The following is a 26,176-nucleotide window of genomic DNA, read 5'->3' as shown; positions in this document are numbered from 1 at the left end:
CTAGAACTGATACACGACTTCAGTAAAGTTTCAGGATACAAAATCAGAACAGAAAAATATCAGTAGCATTTTTATACACCAATGGCATCCTAGTTGAGAGCTGAATCAAGAAGACAATCTCATTTATGACAGCCACAAAAAATAGTGAAATACTTAGGTATATATCTAACCAAGGAGGTAAAGGATAACTATGAGAACTACAAAACACGGTCAGAGATGACACAAATAAATGAAAAACATTACAAGCTCATGTACTGGAAGAATCAATATAATCAAAATGACCATGCTGCCCAAAGCAAGTTAGAGATTCAATGCTATTCACAACAAATTACCAACATCATTTTTTACAGAATTAGAAAAAATCTGCTCTGAAATTCATATGAAACCATAAAAGAATAGCCAAAGCAATCTTAAGCAAAAATAACAAAGCCAGAGGCATCACATTACTCAACTTTAAACTATACTACAAAGCCACAGTGACTAAAACACATACATAGATCAATGGAACAGATGTAGACCCCATAAATAAAGCCACAAACCTACAACTATCTGATCTTTGACAAACTCGACAAAAATAAGCAATGAGGAAAAGCCTCCCCACTCAATGAATGAAGCTGGGATAACTGGCTAACTATATGCAGAAGAATGAAACTGGACTCCTGCTTATCACCATATGCAAAAATTAAGTCAAGATAGATTAAAGACTTAAATGTAAGAAACTCAAACAATAAAAATTCTAGAAGCAATCCTAGGAAATACCCTTCTGGACATCGGCCTTGGTTAAGAATTTATGGCTAAGTCTTCAGAAGCAATTGCAACAACAACAACAAAATTGACAAGTGGGACATAAGAAAACTAAAGAGCTTCTTCACAGAAGAGGAACTATCAAGGAAGTAAACAGACAACCTACAGAATGTGAGAAAAAATTCACAAACTATGCATCTGAGAAAGGTTTAACATCCAGAATCTATAAGGAACTTAAACAATGGAGCAAGCACAAAACAAATAACTGTCAGGCCTCTGAGCCCAAGCCAAGCCATCACATACCCTGTGACTTGCACGTATACACCCAGATGGCCTGAAGTAACTGAAGAATCACAAAAGAAGTGAATATGCCTGCCCCATCTTAACTGATGACATTCCACCACAAAAGAAGTGTAAATGGACAGTCCTTGACTTAAGTGATGACATTACCTTGTGAAAGTCCTTTTCCTGGCTCATCCTGGCTCAAAAAGCACCCCCACTGAGCACCTTGTGACCCCCCACTCCTGCCCGCCAGAGAACAAACCCTCTTTGACTGTAATTTTCCTTTACCTACCCAAATCCTATAAAATGGCCCCACTCTTATCTCGCTTTGCTGACTCTTTTCGGACTCAGCCCGCCTGCACCCAGGTGAAATAAACAGCCATGTTGCTCACACAAAGCCTGTTTGGTGGTCTCTTCACACGGACGCACATGAAATTTGGTGCCATGACTCAGATCGGGGGACCTCCCTTGGGAGATCAATCCCCTGTAATCCTGTTCTTTGCTCCATGAGAAAGATCCACCTATGACCTCAGGTCCTCAGACTGACCAGCCCAAGGAACATCTCACCAATTTTAAATCAGGTAAGTGGCCTCTTTTTACTCTCTTCTCCAACCTCTCTCACAGTCCCTCAACCACTTTCTCCTTTCCACTCTTCAATCTCTCCCTTCTCTTAATTTCAATTCCTTTCATTTTCTGGGAGAGACAAAGGAGACACGTTTTATCCATGGACCCAAAACTCCAGTGCCGGTCACGAACTGGGAAGGCGGCCTTCCCTTGGTGTTTAATCATTGCAGGGATGCCTCTCTGATTATACACCCACGTTTCAAGGGTGTCAGACCACGCAGACATGCCTGCCTTGGTCCTTCACCCTTAGTGGCAAGTCCTGCTTTTCTGGGGAAGGGGCAAGTACCTCAACCCCTTCTCTCCTTGTCTCTGCCCCTTCTCTGCTTTTCTGGGAGAGGGGCAAGTACCCCTCAACCCCTTCTCCTTCACCCTTAGTGGCAAGTCCCACTTTTCTATGGGGCAAGAACCCCCAATCCCTTATTTCCACACCCCAACCTCTTATCTCTGTGCCCCAATCCCTTATTTCCATGCCCCAACTTCTTATCTCTGTGCCCCAATCCCTTATTTCCACACCCAAATCTCTTATCTCTGCACCCCAATCCCTTATTTCCACACCCCAACCTCTTATCTCTGCACCCCAATCCCATATTTCCACACCCCAACCTCTTATCTCTGTGCCCCAATCCCTTATTTCCATGCCCCAACCTCTTATATCTCTGCACCCCAATCCCTTATTTCCACACCCTGATCTATCTCTGTGCCCCAACCCCTTTTCTGGAGGGTGAGAACCCCTGAACCCCTTCCCTCCGTTTCTCTACTCTCTCTTTTCTCTAGGTTTGCTTCCTTCACTATGGGCAACCTTCCACCCTCCATTCCTCCTTCTACTCCCTTGGCCTGTGTTCTCAAAAACTTAAAACCTCTTCAACTCACACCTGACCTAAAACCTAAATGCCTTATTTTCTTCTGCAATGCTGCTTGACCCCAATACAAACTCAACAGTAGTTCCAAATAGCCAGAAAATGGCACTTTGAATTTTTCCATCCTGCAAAATCTAAATAATTCTTGTCATAAAATAGGCAAATGGTCTGAGGTGCCTGACGTCCAGGCATTCTTTTACACATCAGTCCCTTCCTAGTCTCTGTGCCCAGTGCAACTCGTCCCAAATCTTCCTTCTTTCCCTCCCACCTGTCCCCTCAGTACCAACCCCAAGCGTCGCTGAGTCTTTCTAATCTTCCTTTTCTACAGACCCATCTGACCTCTCCCTTCTTCCCCAGGCTGCTCCTCACCAGGCCGAGCTAGGTCCCAATTCTTCCTCAGCCTCTGCTCCTCCACCCTATAATCTTTTTACCACCTCTCCCCTCCTCACACCTGGTCTGGCTCACAGTTTCATTCCATGACTAGCCCTCCTCCACCTGCCCAGCAATTTACTCTTAAAAAGGCATAGTCAAGGTTAATGCTCCTTTTTCTTTATCCCAAATCAGATAGTGTTTAGGCTCTTTTTCATCAAATATAAAAATCCAGCCCAGTTCCTGACTTTTTTGGCAGCAACCCTAAGACACTTTACAGCCCTAGACCCTAAAAAGTCAAAAGGCCGTCTTATTCTCAATATACATTTTATTACCCAATCTGCTCCTGACATTAAATAAAACTCCAAAAATTGGAATCTGGCCCTAAAACCCCACAACAGGACTTAATTAACCTCACCTTCAAGGTGTACAATAACAGAAAAAAGTTGCAATTCCTTGCCTCCACTGTGAGACAAACCCCAGCCACATCTCCAGCACACAAGAACTTCCAAACTCCTGAACCGCAGCAGCCAGGCATTCCTCCAGAACCTCCTCCCCCAGGAGCTTTTTACATGTGCCAGAAATCTGGCCACTGGGCCAAGGAATGCCCACAGCCCGGGATTCCTCCTAAGCCACGTCCCATCTGTGTAGGACCCCACTGAAAATCGGACTGTTCAACTCACCTGGCAGCCACTCCTAGAGCCCCTGGAACTCTGGCCCAAGGTTCTCTGACTGACTCCTTCCCAGATCTTCTCGGCTTAGCAGCTGAAGACTGACACTGCCCGATCACCTTGGAAGCCCCCTAGACCATCACGGACACTGAGCTTCAGGTAACTCTCACAGTGGAAGGTAAGACCGTCCCCTTCTTAATACGGAGGCTACCCAGTCCACATTACATTCTTTTCAAGGGCCTGTTTCCCTTGCCTCCATAACTGTTGTGGGTATTGATGGCCAGGCTTCTAAACCTCTTAAAACTCCCCAACTCTGGTGCCAACTTAGACAATACTCTTTAAAGCACTCCTTTTTAGTTATCCCCACCTGCCCAGTTCCCTTATTAGGCTGAGACACTTTAACTAAATTATCTGCTTCCCTGACTATTCCTGGACTACAGCTGTATCTCATTGCTGCCCTTCTTCCCAATCCAAAGCCTCCTTTGCGTCCTCCTCTTGTATCCCCCAACCTTAACCCACAAGTATAAGATACCTCTACTCCCTCCTTGGCGACCGATCATGCACCTCTTACCATCTCATTAAAACCTAATCACCCTTACCCCACTCAATGCCAATATCCCATCCCGCAGCACGCTTTAAAAAGATTAAAGTCTGTTATCACTTGCCTGCTACAGCATGGCCTTTTAAACCCTATAAACTCTCCTTACAATTCCCCCATTTTACGTGTCCTAAAACCAGACAAGCCTTACAAGTTAGTTCAGGATCTGCGCCTTATCAACCAAATTGTTTTGCCTATCCACTCCGTGGTGCCAAACCCATATACTCTCCTATCCTCAATACCTGCCTCTATAACCCATTATTCTGTTCTAGATCTCAAACATGCTTTCTTTACTATTCGTTTGCACCCTTAATCCCAGCATCTCTTCACTTTTACTTGGACTGACCCTGACACCCATCAAGCTCAGCAAATTACCTAGGCTGTACTGCTGCAAAGCTTCACAGACAGCCCCCATTACTTCAATCAAGCCCAAATTTATTCCTCATCTGTTACCTATCTCGGCATAATTATCATAAAAACACACGTGCTCTCCCTGCCAATTGTGTCTGACTGATCTCTCAAACCCCAGCACCTTCTACAAAACAACAACTCCTTTCCTTCCTAGGCATGGTTAGCGTGGTCAGAATTCTTACACAAGAGCCAGGACCACACCCTGTGGCCTTTCTGTCCAAACAACTTGACCTTACTGTTTTAGCCTAGCCCTCATGTCTGCGTGCAGTGGCTGCCACTGCATTAATACTTTTAGAGGACCTCAAAATCACAAACTATGCTCAACTCACTCTCTACAGTTCTCATAACTTCCAAAATCTATTTTCTTCCTCATACCTGATGCATATACTTTCTGTTTCCCGGCTCCTTCAGCTATACTCACTCTTTGTTGAGTCTCCCACAATTACCATTGTTCCTGGCCCGGACTTCAATCCGGCCTCCCACATTATTCCTGATACCACACCGGACCCCCATGACTGTATCTCTCTGATCCACCTGACATTCACCCCATTTCCCCAAATTTCCTTCTTTCCTCTTCCTCACCCTGATCATGCTTGATTTATTGATGGCAGTTCCACCAGGCCTAATCGCCACACACCAGCAAAGGCAGGCTATGCTATAGTACAAGCCACTAGCCCGCCTCTTAGAACCTCTCATTTCCTTTCCATTGTGGAAATCTATCCTCAAGGAAATAACTTCTCAGTGTTCCATCTGCTATTCTACTACTCCTCAGGGATTATTCAGGCCCCCTCCCTTCCCTACACATCAAGCTCGAGGATTTGCCCCCACCCAGGACTGGCAAATTAGCTTTACTCAACATGCCCTGAGTCAGATAACTAAAATACCTCTTAGTCTAGATAGATACTTTCACTGGATAGGTAGAGGCCTTTCCTACAGGGTCTGAGAAGGCCACGGCAGTCATTTATTCCCTTCTGTCAGACATAATTCCTCAGTTTAGCCTTCCCACCTCAATACAGTCTGATAACAGATGAGCCTTTATTTGTCAAATCAGCCAAGCAGTTTTTCAGGCTCTTAGTATTCAGTGAAACCTTTATATCCCTTAAGGTCCTCCGTCTTCAAGGAAAGTAGAATGGACTAAAGGTCTTTTAAAAACACACCTCACCAAGCTCAGCCACCAACTTAAAAAGGACTGGACAATACTTTTACCACTATCCCTTCTCAGAATTCAGGCCCATCCTCGGAATGCTACAGGATATAGCCCATTTAAGCTCCTGTATAGGCGCTCTTTTTATTAGGCCCCAGTCTCATTCCAGACACCAGACCAACTTAGACTGTGCCCCCCAAAAAACTTGTCATCCCTACTATCTTCTGTCTAGTCATACTCCTATTCACCATTCTCAACTACTCATACATGCCCTGCTCTTCTTTACACTGCCAGTTTACACTGTTTCTCCAAGCCATCACAGCTGATATCTCCTGGTGCTATCCCCAAACTGCCACTCTTAACTCTTGAAGTAAATAAATAATCTTTGCTGGCAGGACTATGCTGAATCTCCTTAGGCACTCTCTAATCAGATATCCTGAGTCGTCACAATTCTTCGACCTTTTATACCTGTTTTTCTCCTTCTGTTATTCCATTTAGTTTCTCAATTCATCCAAAACCGTATCCAGGCCATCACCAATCATTCTATACGACAAATGTTTCTTCTAACATCCCCACAATATCACCCCTTACCACAAGACCTCCCTTCAGCTTAATCTCTCCCACTCTAGGTTCCCATGCTGCCCCTAATCCCGCTTGAAGCAGCCCTGAGAAACATCGCCCATTCTCTCTCCATATCACCCCCCAAAAATTTTTGCTGCCTCAACACTATTTTGTTTAATTTTTCTTATTAATATAAGGCAGGAATGTCAAGCCTCTGAGCCCAAGCCAAGCCATCGCATCCCCTGTGACTTGCATGTATACACCCAGATGGCCTGAAGTAACTGAAGAATCACAAAAGAAGTGAAAAGGTCCTGCCCCACCTTAACTGATGACATTGCACCACAAAAGAAGTGTTAATGGCTGGTCCTTGCCTTAAGTGATGACATTACCTTGTGAAAGTCCTTTTCCTGGCTCATCCTGGCTGAAAAAGCACCCCCACTGAGCACCTTGTGACCCCCACTCCTGCCCGCCAGAGAACAAACCCCCTTTGACTGTAATTTTCCTTTACCTACCCAAATCCTATAAAACGGCCCCACCCTTATCTCCCTTCACTGGCTCTCTTTTCAGACTCAGCCCGCCTGCACCCAGGTGAAATAAACAGCCATGTTGCTCACACAAAGCCTGTTTGGTGGTCTCTCCACACAGATGTGCATGAAAATAACCACATTAAAAAGTAGACAAAGGGCATGAAAAGACACTTCTCAAAAGAAGACATACATGTGGCCAACAAACATGAAAAAATGCTCATCACCACTACTCATCAGAGAAATGCAAATCAAAACCACAATGAGATACCATCTCACACCAGTCAGAATGGCTTTTGCTAAAAAAGTCCAAAAAATAATAGATGTTAGTGAGGCTGTGGAGAAGAGGGGACAATGGTGGGAATGTAAATTAGCTCAGCCACTCTGGAGAGCAGTTTGGAGATTGCTCAAAGAACTTAAGACAGAACTACCATTTGACCCAGCAATGCTATTAAAGGGCATATACCCAAAGGAAAATCCTATTAATGGGTATATACCCAAAAGGGCACACACACCCATATGTTAATTATAGCACTATTCACAATACTAAAAAGTTGGTGTGTCCAGAGTTGGTTCCTTCTGGTGGGTTCGTGGTCTCACTGACTTCAAGAACGGAGCTGTGGACCTTTGCAGTGAGTGTTACAGCTCTTAAAGTTGGCACGGACCCAAAGAGTGAGCAGCAGCAAGATTTATTGTGAAGAGCGAAAGAACAAAGCTTCCACAGCATGGAAGGGGACCTGAGCAGGTTGCTGCTTCTGGCTGGGGTGGCCTGCTTTTATTTCCTTATTTGTCCCCTCTCATGTCCTGTTTCTGTCCTACGCCCTTTTTTCAATCCTCCGTGCGATTGGCTACTCTTAGACTCCTGCTGATTGGTCCATTTTACAGAGCACTGATTGGTCCATTTTACAAACTTCTTGCCAGCTACAGAGCACTGATTGGTGTATTTTTACAGAGTGCTGATTGGTGCATTTTACAAACCTCTTACTAGCTACAGAGCACTGATTGGTGCATTTTACAATCTCCTTGTAAGACAGAAAAGTTCTCCAAGTCCCCAGTGGATCCAGGAAGTCCAGCTGGCTTTGCCTCTCAATGGGATCAACTCAGGTGCCCATCAGTGGTGGACTGGATAAAGACAATGTGATAGATATATACCATGAAATGCTATACAGCCATAAAAAATGAAACCATGTATTTACAGCAACATGGATGCAGTTGAAGGCCGTTATTCTAAATAAACTAATGCAATGCAGAAACAGAAAACAAAATACCAGATATTATCATTTGTAAGTGGGAGCTGAACATTGGATACACATGGACATAAAGATAGGAACAATAGACACTGCAGTCTACTAGAGGGGAGAGACAGAGAACAGGGCAAGGGCTGAAAAACTACTTATTGTGTTCTATTCCCACTACCTGAGTGACAGGTTCAATCATACCCCGAACTTCACCATAATGCAATATACCTTTGTAACAAACCTGCCCATGCACCCCATGATTCTAAAATAAAACTTGTTGGGATTTGATCAGGCTGGTGGGAAAAATATTCGTTATGATAGCCACAAAACCCTTTTGGGGTTTTCATATGACTTCGGTAATAGACCAGGCAGAAGGCAGCCTGGTCACATTACCTTTAGTTACATAAATTAGAGTAGTAAACAACAGGATGTGGGGAAGTTATCTAGTTAGCTTGTTTACTCATGTGGTCTTAAGCCTTAAGCCTTTGATGTATGCTTTTTACTCAGGAAGTCCTCAATGTCAATTAACCTCTAATGGTGTTAACTCAAGCTTTTGTTAGCTAATCTTAATGAATAAATGCAAGCCTCCTGAGCTGATCGGGGCTGGCCGCAGTGACAAACCTCTCTTGGTGTAGGTGGTCAGACATTCAGCAGGACTGGCAAAACAGAATATCTGTGTGTCAGTGTACGTTTTATCCATCCGTTGTTTGGGTCAGGGTCTGCAGGCAGACCCTCGCAGCTAATGCCCTCTTGTGAGGAGCAATACCTCAAGAAGTTGAAAGAAAATAGTTTACTGTTTTGCATATTAGCATCAGAATTCTCTCTACCTAGCTAGCTATCCTTCAACCTATTGATAAATGTTGGTTTATTCATCCAAGTGTCCATTCTTTCAACAAACATTTATTGATCATCCACTGTTAGACTTGATGAATCAAGAATTTTTCCAGTGTTCTGAGTTTTATTAAGGGATTCTCAAATAATCATCTTGCCAATTTCTTTCCTAGGGTCCTGGAATTATAAGGGTTTAAGTCTTTGAATTTACAGCATCAAAAACCCAGAAGGAACCTCAGAGATGAATGATCAGTCCAAGGCATTTGTATTACAGGAGGCAACTCCCAGTCCCAAGAATAGGAGACAGACTTACCCAGGCCACAGACTGAAGGAATGTCATAAGCCACACTTACCATCTTCCCTATCTTCAAGCAGAACCCATAACAAACAGGGCAGCCAGAATAAAATACCTCAACTGGGTGGCTTAAGCAACAGGAATTTAATTTTCACAGTTCTAGAGGCTGGCAATTATTATTTGCATTATTCTTGGGCCCGTCTCCTTGGCTTGCAGATGGCTCTCTTCTTGCTGTTTCTTCACATGGACTTTCCTCTGTGCACCTGCATCGCTGGTCACTCTTTGTACATCCACATTTCCTCTTGTAGAGACACCAATTAGATGGGATTAGGCCCACCCTAATGGCCTCATTTTAACCCAACCACCACATTTAAGACCCTATCTCCAAAAGCAGTTACATTCTGAGGTACTAGGCTTAGGGCTTCAACATATAAATTTTGGGGGGACAAAATTCAGAGCATAAAACCTCTCTGTGTCAGGATGTGCTTCTTTCATTTAACTAATTTCTAATCATCTTCTGGATCTCAACACAAGTGTCACTTCCTTGAGGAAACACATCCTAACTGCATTTCCATATTCCAAAGACAAGATCAGGCCCTTTTCTAGGCACATTTGTGGCACCATTTCACTTTTATTTATCATGACCGTTAACAAAGAAATGACTGTGTAAATGGCATATTCTCTTCTATCTCCCTCCATGAGACTTCCCCCCCCCCATGGACATGGAGCTGGCCAGTCTTGCTCAGTGCTGTGTACTCAGTAACTAGCTAGCTCTTGGCACAAGTTATTCAGCAAATAATTTCCTGAATAAAGAAATAAATGGATCATGCTTTAAGTATTAAAATCACAGAACCGTCTTTGATATTATTATTTTCAGACCATTCCTGTTTTCTCACCTTTATCTATAATGCTCCTGCTGTAGAATTCTACTCACACCACTCCAAGCCCAACACAGCTTCCTCCAATTCTTCTCCTTACCCAATGCATGATCGATTCTTTTTTCTTCAGCAGTACTGTAGTATATTATTGACACAGTTGATTTTGCACTTCATCTTAGCACATCAAGGGCACGTTGTTACGATGCTTATCCCCCCACACACTTCACCTGAATTATGTTTTATTTAACTCCAAATCCCCAGCACACAGCCTAGCTCCTGGCAGAGTTGGCACATGGTAAAGGGTCAGTGCCTTTTAGGATAAGACCATAGCCCAACTCTAGTGGATACAGCCAGCTGTGGGCATGCAGCAATTCTTAGTGATTCCAGACACTCTGGGGGTCTTTGCTGCTCTGCCCATGCCAGGGTCTTCAACTTGGCTGGATGAGCCACTGCTCTCTGCGTCTCTCAGAAACAGTTCATGGATCTGGCTCTAGAAGGACTCTAATGACCAAGTGCATTGAATCTTTCAGATCAGTTTTCTTAAAAGGAAAAATAAAAGCAATAAAAAAGAGGAAGGAGGAGAAGGAGGGGAAAGAGAGGAAGAGAAAGAGGAAGGCAAGTTTGTGAACCTTCTGGAATCTAATTTAAATTCTGACCAAAATTTACACTGGTTCTTTGTTCTATGCTTACATAGATGGAACCACAAATAACTGTGCCAGCCTGAGGAAGAAGACAGGGGCAGGAACCCATCTAGTTCAGATTCTGTGTAGGCTCCTGTGGCTCAGTCTCCACTGTGAAAGGAGAATAATAACATCAGCAGCATGATGAGAGGCAGTCAAGGTGTCAGAAGCAAGAGAGCTCTCTGGAAGGTTAACAAGCTGCTCCAGTTAAAGAGGTTCTTGCTTAGCTTCAGAGTGGTTGAGGAACAGAGATGAGAAAACCAGGGTTCCTTAGAAGGACATATCCAAGTTTTGATTGGCAGTGATATCCACAAGTAGAGCTGCCTGACATACTGGGTATTATGAGGTTTTCAGAGAACACTGGCTTTTATAAAAGCCAAAGACTCATCCTTCCATTCTCCATCTCCAGACATGCAGGTACCCCTGCCCCTGACCACCTTCACTTTCCAGTGAAAATCACCCTGTCCTGTGTATCTTCCCTTATCTCAACAAAGAGATAATATGGAGATAACATGGCACATGGCTAAAACCGTGGGTTCTGGGGTCGCTCGGGCCTGAGTTTGAGTTGCAGCTCTGCTACTTACCAGTTCTGTGATCTACAGAAAACATCTGACCTTCAGTCTCTTCATTTTTGATATGACAAAAATAATGGTAACTGCCCCCATAGGGTTGTTGGGAAGTTTATACTACATGCTCTTGGACTGACACAGAGTTTGACACGTAAGTGCTCAACAAATGGGACACATGTTGTAACATTGTAACTTCAACTGCAGTCTGATGCTTTCTGTCTGTTTTCAAGATCAATTCTCTTGGTCCATTATGTCTTCTCCATTCCTCCTCCTAGAACCTTCTTTCTCAAGCCAGAATGAACCCAGCTGAGCTCCAGAATGACATCTCTTCTTGAATTTCCTGTCCTGAGCACTGTGCAATTTGCATAGTAGGCAAAGTTTCTCAAACCATCTACGACTAATTAATGAAGGAAATTGTTCCTCTCTTATTATAGGGGACTTTAAAAGTCCAGGGGCTTCATTACAAGGACTTCAAATTTTAGGCAGATGCCTCCTTTTCCTTCTTCCCACACCTAAGCATTCCCCAAAGCTTCTACTTTGCAAACCATGCTCAGAAAATGCAGTCAGGGAATAGGAGCTGTTGGCTCATATTTCTCAAAGCATTCCAACTTGAGGCTCCTTGTAACTTCTTAAGTAAGCAGCATAGTTATTAGCTGCAGGATATGTAAAGGGCATGGAGAGTTACTGAAGCATTGAGTTGAGAAGTGCAAATGTCAAAGGCAAAAAGAAAACTGTAAATATAGTTACAGACTTGAAAGTGCAGGCAGCAAAAACAGCTATGGGAAAAAAAATGTCCTTGGAAAATAAAGATGCAGATTCAGGGTAGCTGCCTTCGACAAAGGGCATTGCTACTTACAAGGCTCTTTCTCTGTTTTGGTGTATGGAAGATGCTCAATAAAACTAGCTGAATGAACAAATTAGTAAGTCATAGACACGATTAAGTATTTATTTTATTAATAAAATTGAAATGGTAGAGCTAAAGTAGTTTAAAAACTCTGCTCTCTCAAGTTCATCCTTTCATTACGTATGAATCTTATAACATCCTCTTTTTTTTCTCTTTCATCAAATGTTCCTCTGCTTCTAGTTTTCATAAATACTTGGATGACTGGCTTTCACTATGACAATGCACTGATAAGGTCTGGACTTCCATGCACTTACTTTATGGCAGGCTGAAACCAGAATGTTTCAATCTCCTACAAGATTGTAAAAACAAGCCTTAAGTGTTAAGAGATATTCTAGGCTCTGATTTCTCTGTTGATCTCTACCCCTGTGTTTCTATATGTGTCCAGATACATAACACTATTGTATTTCTATGTAAAATCTACCTTAGCAAAAGTTTCATTTGTTAAAGCTCATTATCCATCTTATTTTGTTCTGCTCCTTTATGTTTGTGGTGAGTACTGTCTGTGGAGCCTCTTTCTTTATGGTCCTCATACATTCTACCTGGGTCTCTGCACCGAGCATCAGTGTGACTCAGGCCTGAGTACTATCAATGCTTGACTTAAGTGAACTGCTCCTAGCAACTGTCTCCTCTTCAAACTGCTGGTGATATTTATATCGCTAAATATGATTTACTGATTATGAATCAAACAGGCAATATTTTCTTCCATGCTTGTCAATTAACAATACCACCTTCTTATCAGGGATCCCTGGATATTGCAAAGCATCATAGAGGCAGTTGTTTAACAAGTAAAATTGCCCTGACCCAATAAAGGGCTGACTCGTCTGCCTATGTGAGATGAAATTTTTCTGGGTAGATGATGGCGGTTCTTTCCTCTCTGTAGGAGGAAATAAGATGATAGCATTTTTAAAAATTTAATTTATCCTTTGCAGGCAGTGATGGAGAGGTTCACCCCGCATTGAGTGAGTCTGTGATTAGCTTGGCTATGTTTTTTTGTTTTTGTTTTTTGAGACGGAGTCTTGCTCTGTGGCCCAGGCTGGAGTGCAGTAGTGGGATCTTGGCTCACTGCAAGCTCTGCCTCTGGGAGTCAAGTGATTCTTGTGCCTTAGCCTCCCTGAGTAGCTGGGATTACAGGCACTTGCCACCAGGCCCTTCTAATTTTGGTATTTTTGGTAGAGACAGGGTTTCACCATGATGGCCAGGCTGGTTTTGAACTCTCAACCTCAGGTGATCCACCTGCCTCGGCCTCCCAAAGTGCTGGGAATACAGGCATGAGTCACTGTGCCTGGCCAGCTATGATTCTTAAAAGTAAACGTGGTATGATGGAATACTACACAGAACAAAGAAGAATGAACTACTGCCACATGCACCATGAATGAATCTCACAGGAATAGTATTATGCAAAAGAAACCAGAAGCAAAAAGCGTACTGCTATGCAGCTCAAGAGCAAGCAAAACAAATACATAATGATAGAAGGAAAAATATGGTGACCTCTGAAGATGTTGTTGACTGAAAAGGGGCACAAATGACCTTTCTTGGGTGCTGAAAATATTCTATAACTTGACCTGGGTGGTAACTACACAGACATATACATATGCAAACATTTATTAAGTTGTTCACTGAAGATTTATACACCTATCTGTGCATGTTGTGCCTCAATTTTGAAAGTTTAAAACAAAACAAAACTTTGCAACACAGACACTTGGTATTAAATCACAGGGAAACATAAAATGAGGCACCAACTAAGATAAACCCAGAAACCAGATAAAATTTCAAATTTGCTATTATGTGGAACTGTTGATTGCAATCTGAGGATGCTTACTTCAGATGACTATTGTACATTGTGGTCATTAGCTGGAATGGCTCTAATCACTTTTCCTTATGGAAGTAACTCCAGGAACATTGTTAAGCCATATAATGTAACTCCTTTTCCTATTTAACAGAATCACAGTATGTTGCTGAAAACATTCTTGTGAAAAATTTAATTAGGGACAAGTGACATTAGAGACATTTTTATTCACATTTTCATTAACAGAACATTATGCAGTTTTTTAATAGCAAGAGTTTTTTTGCTAATGTCAACCATTTTGAAAAATAATCCATCTGGAAAAACTGCATAGCTGTGAAAATGACATTTCAATATTTAGAGTGCAGTTGGCTTATGAGGAAGATTCTCTGTGGCCACATGTAGGTTGTGTATTTCTCTAACAGTTCAGCATTTCAAAACTTCTGAAATCCATTAAGTCTGGAAATTACTAGGGTCTAGTTCAATCAAAAAATAAGCCTGGGTTGCTAAAGGGTACAAAAGCCATTATACAGGGGAAAGTCAATTTTGAGAAGCCTTACATGGGTGTCAGCATTGAGATCTGGAAGCTAGCTGTCCACGACAGGCAGCAGCCACTGTTAGAGAGCTTGCCACAGGCATCCCTCATGGAGAGCTGTGCCTGCCTGGACAGCTGCTCTCAGAGGTCACTTATTTGAGCACATTGGGACAAGGATTCCTTTAGTGTCCTGTTTGTACCCAATAATCTGTCCAATTGCAAGCGAGGCTTTACTTTAATACTTAGCATGTTATGGTGGGAATAGTACTACAGGCTTTGGCTTAAAACTCTCCTTTAATACGCTTATTACTATGTGTCCTTGACCTAGAACTCAAACTTCAGTCCTCTCATTTATAAAAAGGTCAGTAAACTCGAGGTGATGTCAGCAAAATGGCTGGCTAGAAGCTTCTAGTGTTCTTCCCCCACAACCAAGATGGCCAAAACAATGAATAAACCACACTTTGATGAAAATAACTAAAGGAGAGCACTAGAGTACATCAAAAGAGTCTAAAAGTCTTTGTAGAGCACAGAAACCCAGGATGGCCACATTGAGAACCAAAGGGAACACCTGGCCTCTGCCACCCTATCCCCCAGTGAGGATCAGCTTAGAACCAGGAGGGACTTCTCCCTGTGGGTAAAAGATAAACAGATCCCAGCAGCCCCCATTAATACCTGGGACACCTACAGTCCTTACCACTAGGGACCCCTGCAGTTCTCACAGTCACTAAGGCCAGCTGAGGGATCTGCCTAGAGCCACACAGCTGTGTTTCTCCAAGGGAAGGAGCTGACACTGTGCCCCAACCCTGTGTGGCCCATGTGGCTACTGCACTATACCATCTTGGAACTGGAACTACTGCTGGAGTGTGTTCTCCTCCAGGAGTGAATGGCCACAACACCATTCCATTCCTGCGTTTTAGTCACCACTGAACCTCCCCTGTCTGGTGGCTCACCATCTCTCAGCCAAGCTGCCGCTACATCCTAGCCCATGGTGGCACGTGGCCTTGAAGCTGCCTCATCTACCCTTCCTAGTCACTGCTGTGCCTTGCCCCTCAGGGCCTGAGCTGAAGCCGTGCACTCTCTCCTGGAGAAACATGCCTTGGCTAAGTTGCTCCATCTACCTGACCCCTGCCACCCAGTAACTTCTGCACCTTATTTCTTGGGACTAGAGCTGAAGCTGTTCACTGTCTCCCAAGGAAACAGCTCCTTGGCAGAACTGCTCCATCTACTCCTCCTAGTCACTGTATGTCTTGTCTTTCTGTGTCTGAGCTGAAGTGGTGCCTGCCTCCTGGGAAGACGGTACCTTGGCTTCCCAGAGAAGTCATGTCCCCAAGGCCTGAGCTGAAGTGGCCCATTGCCTCTTGGGGATGAGGCCAAGAGGCTTGCTGAGCCAAGCAGTCAGGCATCCCAGGACTGAGATGATGTGGTACCCCTCATCCAGGGAAACAGAGAAGTGGCTGAGCTGAGACACTGGTCCTCAGGCCAAACAACTCTAGTGCCCTGCTTCCTTGAACTTGAATTAGTCTTCTAGAGTCTGAGCTGAGACACCCTCCTCCATAGGGAGTGAAGTCATCACTGTGCTCACTGCCCTCCACAGCTCAAGTGACGGCTGTGTTCTGACATTCTGGGATCCTTGTTGCTACCGTACCTACCTCAGAAAGTCTAGGGTACTTCCAAGTCATATCATGCCTGGGTGATGAGGTATTGTATAGGGTCCAGAGTGATCAGTATACAATAACTCATCCCTCAGGATCTGAATTGCCACAGTGCCCTATTGGCTGTGGTTCCTGAATTGTAGCTGTAGCTTTCTGGGCCCAAACCTCCAAACCACTCATTTTTCCCCAAAGTTTGGCCAGTGCTGTGCCCCACCCCATATGGTCAGATTCACAGCTATAACCCAGCCCCAGTGCCCAGGCTGCTTTAAGGGGCCTCAGAGTCATAGCTAACTAGCACTATAGACAATCTACATTCAGCTCTGCCTCAAAGAGTGAACCTGAACCTTAAGTCCCAAGTACCACAATAGGTTCATGAAGCCCTGAGCCTAAGACCCTTCAGTTAAATCTTCCCATTGCAGGGAAAACAAGAATAGGAGGGTCCCAAAAGCCCTTGCCACTGTGGACCCTAACAATCTATGCTGCTGCCATTGCTGCCATAAACTCCTACAGCCTAGGCCACTAAGACACTCACAGTCCTCACTGATATTGGTTTCAGTTGAAGAAACTGCATGGAGGCTATACCACTGCATCTACTCAAAAATAGAACCACTACACCCTTCCCAACCAGCACACTAAGACCTTTCTCCATGTGAAAGTCTTTCTTGAAAAAATCCACCCTGTAAAGTTCCAAAGAGATAATTGTTCCATTGGATGGGGAGACATCAATGCTGGAACACAAGAAACATCAAAAATCAAGGGAATATAAGAACACCAAAAGTACATAATTATGCTCTAGGAATTGACCTCAAAGAAAAAGAAATCTATGAAGTGCCTGAAGAGAAACTCAAAATAATGATTTTAAGGAAACTCAGCAAGATACAAGAGAAGACAGACAATTCAACAAAATCAGAAAAAAAATCATGATCTGAATGAAAAACTTAAAAGTTACATGTCATAAAAAGGAATCAAACAGAAATCTTTTATTTAAACAATTCATTGAATGAAATAAAAAAATATGATAGAGACCTTCAACAGCAGACTGGATCAAGCAGAAGAATCTCTGAACTTGAAGATAAATCTTTTGAAGTTACCCAGTTAGAAGGAAAAAAAAAGAATGAAAAAGATTGAAGAGATCCTACAGGATTTATGGAACACAGCTGAGCAAACAAACATTCATAGGAATTCAACAAGGAGGAAAGACAAACATAGGAACAGAAAGCTTATTTAATGAAATAATTGTTGAAAAGTTTCTAAGTTTTGGAAGAGATGTGGACAGCCAGATGCATAAAACTCAAGGATTCCCAAACAGACTTAACGCAAAGAAGTCCTCACTGAGGCACATTTAATTAAATTGCCAAAAGTCAAAGACAAACAGACAATTTTAAAAGCAGCAAGAGAAAAGCATCAAATCATGTATAAGGGAATCTCTATTAAACTATCAGCTGATTTCTCAGCAGAAATCCTGCAGGCCAGGAAAGAATGGGATGGTGCATTTAAATGCCAAAAGAAAAAAAATTGCTAGTGAAGAATACTATACCCAGCAAGGAGGTACTTCAGAAATAAAGGAAAAAAAAAGTATTTTCCAGATAAGCAAAAGTTGAGAGACTATATCATCACTAAACCTATCCTATAAGAAATGCGTAAGGGAGTTCTTAAAGTAGAAATGAAAAGATACTAATCACTAACATGAAAACATATGAAAGTAAAAAGTTCACTGATAAAGGTAAATATATAGTCAAGTCCAAAATAGACCAATACTGTTATGACGTATTATAATTCACACATATATCTAGTGTGAAGGTTAAAAGTCAAAACAGTCAAAAGTAATAATAGTTGCAACAAATTGTTAAGAAATATGTAATATAAAATATAAATTGTGACATCGAAATTATAAATTGTGGGGAGAAGGGTAAAAGCATAGAGCTTTTGTATGTGACTGAATTTATCAATGTCAAATTGTCTATTATTAACTATAAGATGTTCTATGATAACCTCATGATGTTCATGAGGCAATAAAACTATAGCAAATACATGTATAATAAAAAAATCAAAATTAACACTGAAGAAAATCAGCAAATCACAAAGATAAACAAGAGAGGAAAAAAGGAACAAAGCATTTACAAAACAACCAGTAGGAAATTAACAACCTGACAGTAGTAAGTCCTTACCTATTAATAATTACTTTGAATGTAAATTAAATTCTCCAATCCAAGGACACAGAGGGGCTAAATGCATTTTACAAAAAGAAGATCCAAATATATTCTGCCTTTGAGAGATTCACACTTAAACCTTAAGGACACACATAGGCTGAAAGTAAATGGGAGGAAGAAGATATTTCATGAAAATGGTAACCAAAATAGAGCAGAGGTGACTATATTTATGTCATGTAAAATAGACTTCAAGTCAAAAACTGCCACAAGAGACAAACGTCATCATTTAATGATGAAGCACCAGCTTATCAAGAAGACATAACAATTGTAAATATATATGCACACAATATTGGAGCACCTAATGAAGCAAACGTTAATGAACATGAAGGGAGAAACAGATAGCAAAACAATAATAGTTGTGGACTTCAATACCCTACTTCCAACAATGGACAGATTAAGCAGACAGAAAATTAAGAAACTACTGAAATTGAGCTATACTTAAGACAAAATGGACCTAAGGATATATACAGAACTTTCCATCCAACATTAGTAGAATATACATTATTCTCTAGGGCACGTGTAACATCATCCAAGATAAACCATTTAGTGGGCCACAAAATAAGTCTCAACAAATTGTAAAAAATTGAAATTGTATTAAGAATTGGTGCTTACTACAATGGTATGGAAGTAGAAATCAATAACAAGAGGAACTTTGCAAACCATACAGATACATGGGAATTTTAAAAAACATGCTCCTGAACAACGAATGAATTATAAAAATATTAAAAGGTAAATTTTAAAAACTTCTAGAAACAAAAGAGAATGGAAGCACACATACCAAAACCTATGGGATACAGCAAAAGTAGTACTCAGAGGGAAAATTTATAGCAATGCATTTACATCAAAGAAGAAGAAAAGTCTCAAATATAAAATTTAATATTGCACCTCAAGGAGTAAGAAAAACAAGGACAAACAAAACCCTTACTTAGTAGAAGGAAATAAGTCATAAAGATAAAACAAATCAATGAAACTAAGAATTAAAAGTGCAAAAGTTAATGAAGAGTTGCTTTTTAAAAAAATAAACAAAACACATAAACTTTTAGACAGACTAATTGAGAAAAAAAGGAAAAGACTCAGATAAATAAAATCAGAGACTAAAAGGAGATGTTACAACTAATTCCACAGAAATACAAAGGATCATCTGAGGCTATTATTAACAACCATATGCCAGAAAATTAGAGAACCTATCAGAAATGGATAAATTCCTGAACAAATACAACTTACCAAGATTGAATCATGAAGAAACAGAAAATCTGAACAGACTAATAATGAGTTACAAGATTGAATTATTAATAAAAAAAATTTCTATCAAAGAAAAGCCCAGGACCTGATGGCTTCATTGCTGAATTCTAACACTTGAATAACTAATACCAGTTATTCTCAATCTACTCCAGAAAATTAAAGAGGACAGAATTCTTCCAAAATCATTCTATACGGCTGGCATTATCCTTATTCCAACTATACAAGGGCACAACAATCACAAAAAAGAAATCTGTAGGCCAATATCTCTGATAAATACAGAGGCAAAAGTCCTCAACAAAATAGCAAACTGAATTCTATAGCACATTAAAAAAATAATTCACCATGATTAAGTATGGTTCATCCTATGGAAGCAAGGATGGTTCAACATTTGCAAATCAATAAATATTATTCATCATATTAACAAAATGAAGAGCAAAAATTATACTATTATTTCAATAAATGCAGACAAAACAATTGACAAAATTCAACATCCCTTCATGATAAAAAGTCTCAACAAATTAGGCACAGAAGATATGTGCCTGAAAATGATAAAAGCCATATATGACATATCCATAGCTAATATCTCAGTGAATAATGAAAGGTTGAAAGTTTTTCTTCTAAGGTCTATAAGTGTCAGGCCTCTGAGCCCAAGCCAAGCCATCACATCCCCTGTGACTTGCACGTATACACCCAGATGGCCTGAAGTAACTGAAGAATCACAAAAGAAGTGAATACGCCCTGCCCCACCTTAACTGATGACATTCCACCACAAAAGAAGTGTAAATGGCTGGTCCTTGCCTTAACTGATGATATTACCTTGTGAAAATCCTTTTCCTGCCTCATCCTGGCTCAAAAAGCACCCCCACTGAACACCTTGCGACCCCCACTCCTGCCCACCAGAGAACAAACCCCCTTTGACTGTAATTTTCCTTTACCTACCCAAATCCTGTAAAACAGCCCCACCCTTATCTCCCTTCCCTGACTCTCTTTTCGGACTCAGCCCCCCAGCACCCAGGTGAAATAAACAGCCATGTTGCTCACACAAAACCTGTTTGGTGGTCTCTTCACGCAGACACACATGAAATTTGGTGCCGTTTTTTGTTGCTCACACAAAGCCTGTTTGGTGGTCTCTTCACAGGGGCGCGCATGAAATTTGGTGCCGAAACATCTGGTTGTCAAAATAACCTCATGTGCTGGCTACTACAGATATTTCTAACCTCATTTTACAAACTTAAGGAACTTAGCCCCAGAGATGTTGATCTGTCTCTGTTTTTTTTTTTTCATTCACTGAACAAATACTTACTGAAAACCTACTAAGTGCCGTATGTTGCCCTAAGAATTGTAGGGTGACAAACCATCCCAGCTTGCCCAGAACTAGGGAGATTCCTGGGATGCAGATTTTTCGTGCTAAAACGGGACTGTCCTGAGCAAACTGGGATGGTTGATCAGCTTAACTCAATCTGGCCACCCTAACAGCACATCACAGTTCAAGTCACAAAATAAACCATACCAGATGGAGAGCTCTGTCTCTCTCTCTCTTTCATTATTTTTGCCTCACTTGGGACTTTTATTTCTAGACCCTACTCCCAGCATTAGACTAAAAGTTCTCCTTAATGTTGCCAGTGATCACCCAAGCACGAAAAATACTTTGCTGCCCACTTATCTGCAAAATTTGACATTCTGACCACCTGATACTCTCTTTGGCCTTTACTCTTTCCCTTGCTTTTCTCTCTCTTTCATAATGCCCAACATCTTCCCATCTAAACTTTCATCATTAAGTGCATGGCACCCAAATGTATACCCATAGCTGCAATGTGATGGCTTTGACATGTGGATGTGTATGACTAAAAGGTATCTCCTTAACTCCTGGCTATCCCAAGTATTCAAATAAACTAAATCTCAACAAAAATGTTGTTTTCTCCACCCCCAATTCTTCCTCAGCCTCTGCTCCTTCACCTTATAATCCTTCTACCACCTCCCCTCCTCACACCCGGTCTGGCTTACAGTTTAGTTCCGCGACTAGCTCTTCCCCACCTGCCCAACAATTTCCTCTTAGAGAGGTGGCTGGAGCTGAAGGCACAGTCAGGGCACATGTACCTTTTTCTCTATCAGACCTCTCTCAGATCAGTCAATGTTTAGGCTCTTTCTCATCAGACCCCACTAAATATATACAGGAATTCCAATATCTAACTCTGTCCTACAACTTAACCTGGAGTGACTTAAATGTCATCCTGACGTCTACCCTCTCCTCAGATGCACGGGAAAGAATTTTTTCTCTGGCCCAATCTCATGCTGATAACTGCTGGCTTCATGAGCCAGACCTCCAGGAAGGCATTAGAGCAGTTCCCCGAGAGGATCCCCAATGGAACTACCAGGCAAATTCCCCAGGTATAGCTAGGCGATATTACATGTTTTCCTGCCTAGTCGTAGGGCTTAAAAAAGCAGCTTACAAAGCTGTTAATTGTGACAAACTTAAAGAAACTACCCAAGGTAAAGATGAAAACCCAGCCCGGTTCATGGCCCGCTTAGCGGCAACCCTTAGACGCTTTACCGCCCTAGACCCAGAGGGGCCAGAAGGCCGCCTTATTCTTAACATGCATTTTATCACCCAATCCACTCCTGACATTAGGAAAAAACTTCAAAAACTAGAATCTGGCCCTCAAACCCCACAACAGGAATTAATCAACCTCACCTTCAAGGTGTACAATAATAGAGAGGAAGCAGCCAGACGGCAACGCGTTTCTGAGTTACAATTACTTGCCTCTGCTGTGAGAGAAAACCCAGCCACACCTCCTGCATATGAGAACTTCAAAATGCCTAAGCCGCAGCAGTCAAGCATTCCTACAAGACTTCCTCCAACAGGATCTTGCTTCAAGTGCCAGAAATCTGGCCACTGGGCCAAGGAATGCCCGTAGCCTGGGATTCCTCCCAAGCCATGTCCCATCTGTGCAGGGACCCACTGGAAATCAGACTGCCCAGCTCACCTGGCAGCCATTCCTAGAGCCCCTAAAGCTCTAGCCCAAGGCTCTCTGATTCCTTCCCAGATCTTCTTGGCTTAGCAGCTGAAGACTGACACTGCCCGATTGCCTCGGAAGCACCCTACACCATCAAGGACACCGAGCTTCAGGTAACTCTCACAGTGGAAGGTAAGCCCATCCCCTTCTTAATATGGAGGCTACCCACTCCACATTACCTTCTTTTCAAGGGCCTGTTTCCCTTGCCTCCATAACTGTTGTGGGTATTGATGGCCAGGCTTCTAAACCTCTTAAAACTCCCCAACTCTGGTGCCAACTTAGACAATAATCTTTTAAGCACTCCTTTTTAGTTATCCCCATCTGCCCAGTTCCCTTATTAGTCTGAGACACTTTAACTAAATTATCTGCTTCCCTGACTATTCCTGGACTACAGCTGTATCTCATTGCTGCCCTTCTTCCCAATCCAGTCTCCTTTGCGTCCTCCTCTTCTATCCCCCCACCTTAACCCACAAGTATAAGATACCTCTACTCCCTCCTTGGCGACCGATCATGCACCCCTTACCATCTCATTAATACCTAATCACCCTTACCTCACTCAATGCCAATATCCCATCCCCCAGCACGCTTTAAAAAGATTAAAGTCTGTTATCACTTGCCTGCTACAGCATGGCCTTTTAAACCCTATAAACTCTCCTTACAATTCCCCCATTTTACCTGTCCTAAAACCAGACAAGCCTTACAAGTTAGTTCAGGATCTGCACCTTATCAACCAAATTGTTTTGCCTCTCCACCCCGTGGTGCCCAACCCGTACACTCTTTTGTCCTCAATACCTTCCTCCACAACTCACTATTCCATGCTTGATCTTAAAGATGATTTTTTCACTATTCCCCTGCACCCCTCATCCCAGCCTCTCTTTGCTTTCACTTAGACTGACCCTGAGACCCATTAGGCTCAGCAAATTACCTAGGCTGTACTGCCGCAAGGCTTCACAGACAGCCCCCATTACTTCAGTCAAGCCCAAATTTTATCCTCACCTGTTACCTATCTCGGCATAATTCTCATAAAAACATACGTGCTTTCCCTGCTGATCATGTCCGATTAATCTCCCAAACCTCAATCCCTTACAAAACAACAACTCCTTTCCTTCCTAGGCATAGTTAGTGTGGTCAGAATTCTTACACAAGAGCCAGGACCGCACCCTGTAGCCTTTCTGTGCAAACAACTTGACCTTACTGTTTTAGCCTAGCCCTCATGTCTGCCTGCAGCGGCTGCTGCTGCTTTAATACTTTTAGAGGCCCTCAAAATCCCCAACTATGCTCAACTCACTGTACAGTTCTCATAACTTCCAAAATCTATTTTCTTCTTCATACCTGACGCATATACTTTCTGCTTCCCGGCTCCTTCAGCTATACTCACTCTTTTCTGAGTCTCCCACAATTATCATTGTTCCTGGCCCAGACTTCAATCCGGCCTCCCACATTATTCCTGATACCACACCTGACCCCCATGACTGTATCTCTCTGATCCACCTGACATTCACCCCATTTCCCCAAATTTCCTTCTTTCCTCTTCCTCACCCTGATCATGCTTGATTTATTGATGGCGGTTCCACCAGGCCTAATCGCCACACACCAGCAAAGGCAGGTTATGCTATAGTACAAGCCACTAGCCTGCCTCTTAGAACCTCTCATTTCTTTTCCATCGTGGAAATCTACCCTCAAGGAAATAACTTCTCAGTGTTCCATCTGCTATTCTACTACTCCTCAGGGATTATTCAGGCCCCCTCCCTTCCCTACACATCAAGCTCGAGGATTTGCCCCCACCCAGGACTGGCAAATTAGCTTTACTCAACATGCCCAAGTCAGGAAACTAAAATACCCCTTAGTCTAAATAGACACTTCCACTGAATAAGTAAAGGCCTTTCGTACAGGGTCTGAGAAGGCCACGGCAGTCATTTATTCCCTTCTGTCAGACATAATTCCTCAGTTTAGCCTTCCCACCTCAATACAGTCTGATAACAGACGAGCCTTTATTAGTCAAATCAGCCAAGCAGTTTTTCAGGCTCTTAGTATTCAGTGAAACCTTTATATCCCTTAAGGTCCTCCATCTTCAAGAAAAGTAGAATGGACTAAAGGTCTTTTAAAAACACGCCTCACCAAGCTCAGCCACCAACTTAAAAAGGACTGGACAATACTTCTACCACTTTCCCTTCTCAGAATTCAGGCCTGTCAGAATGCTACAGGGTACAGCCCATTTAAGCTCCTGTATAGACGCTCCTTTTTATTAGGCCCCAGTCTCATTCCAGACACCAGACCAACTTAGACTGTGCCCCCCTCCCAAAAAAAACTTGTCATCCCTACTATTTTCTGTCTAGTCATACTCCTATTACCATTCTCAACTACTCATACATGCCCTGCTCTTCTTTACACTGCCGGTTTACACTGTTTCTCCAAGCCATCACAGCTGATATCTCCTGGTGCTATCCCCAAACTGCCACTCTTAACTCTTGAAGTAAATAAATAATCTTTGCTGGCAGGACTCTGCTGAATCTCCTTAGGCACTCTCTAATCAGATATCCTAGGTCCTCCCAATTCTTAGACCTTTTATACCTGTTTTTCTCCTTCTGTTATTCCATTTAGTTTCTCAATTCATACAAAACCGTATCCAGGCCATCACCAATCATTCTATATGACAAATGTTTCTTCTAACATCCCCACAATATCACCCCTTACCACAAGACCTCCCTTCAGCTTAATCTCTCCCACTCTAGGTTCCCACGCTGCCCCTAATCCCACTTGAAGCAGCCCTGAGAAACATCGCCCATTCTCTCTCCCTACCACCCCTCAAAAATTTTCACCACCCCAACACTTCAACACTATTTTGTTTTATTTTTCTTATTAATATAAGAAGGCAGGAATGTCAGGCCTTTGAGCCCAATCCAAGACATCGCATCCCCTGTGACTTGCACGTATATGCCCAGATGGCCTGAAGTAACTGAAGAATCACAAAAGAAGTGAAAAGGCCCTACCCTGTGTTAACTGATGTCATTCCACCATTGTGATTTGTTCCTGCCCCACCTTAACTGAATGATTAACCCTGTGAATTTCCTTCTCCTGGCTCAGAAGCTCCCCCACTGAGCACCTTGTGACCCCCGCCCCTGCCCACCAGAGAACAACCCCCTTTTACTGTAATTTTCCATTACCTTCCCAAATCCTATAAAATGGCCTCACCCCTATCTCCCTTTGCTGACTCTCTTTTCGGACTCAGCCCACCTGCACACAGGTGATTAAAAGCTTTATTGCTCACACAAAGCCTGTTTGGTGGTCTCTTCACACAGATGCGCATGAAAATAAGGATGCCCACATTCATCATTTCTATTCAACATAGTACCAGAAGTCCTAGCCAGAGCAACAAGACAAGAGAAAGAGATAAAAGGCATCCAAATTGAAGAGAAAAACGTCAAAACGTTCCTGTTTGCAGACAACATGATCTTAGAGACGGAAAACCCTAAAGACTCCACCAAAACCTGTTATAATTAATAAACAAATTTAGTAAAGTAGCAGGATACAAAATCAACTTACGATAATCAGTAGTATTT

The 26,176-nt window shown here is 42.4% G+C and overlaps 3 annotated features.

Annotated features, from left to right (window-relative positions):
• Positions 6,016–6,666: an enhancer, noted in NCBI's record as "OCT4-NANOG-H3K27ac-H3K4me1 hESC enhancer chr5:135901279-135901929 (GRCh37/hg19 assembly coordinates)". NCBI's record gives its function as "activates a minimal SCP1, AML or CMV promoter by ChIP-STARR-seq in naive and primed H9 embryonic stem cells {active_cell/tissue: H9 hESC(naive and primed)}" and the evidence as "EXISTENCE:reporter gene assay evidence [ECO:0000049][PMID:30033119]".
• Positions 6,667–7,317: an enhancer, noted in NCBI's record as "OCT4-NANOG-H3K27ac-H3K4me1 hESC enhancer chr5:135900628-135901278 (GRCh37/hg19 assembly coordinates)". NCBI's record gives its function as "activates a minimal SCP1, AML or CMV promoter by ChIP-STARR-seq in naive and primed H9 embryonic stem cells {active_cell/tissue: H9 hESC(naive and primed)}" and the evidence as "EXISTENCE:reporter gene assay evidence [ECO:0000049][PMID:30033119]".
• Positions 20,063–20,578: an enhancer, noted in NCBI's record as "OCT4-NANOG-H3K27ac hESC enhancer chr5:135887367-135887882 (GRCh37/hg19 assembly coordinates)". NCBI's record gives its function as "activates a minimal SCP1, AML or CMV promoter by ChIP-STARR-seq in primed H9 embryonic stem cells {active_cell/tissue: H9 hESC(primed)}" and the evidence as "EXISTENCE:reporter gene assay evidence [ECO:0000049][PMID:30033119]".

Source organism: Homo sapiens, chromosome 5 (genome assembly GCF_000001405.40).
Source record: "Homo sapiens chromosome 5, GRCh38.p14 Primary Assembly".
Classification (NCBI taxonomy): domain Eukaryota; kingdom Metazoa; phylum Chordata; class Mammalia; order Primates; family Hominidae; genus Homo; species Homo sapiens.
Note: the sequence above shows the minus strand (reverse complement) of the source record. Positions and strands in the feature narration are given on the sequence as shown.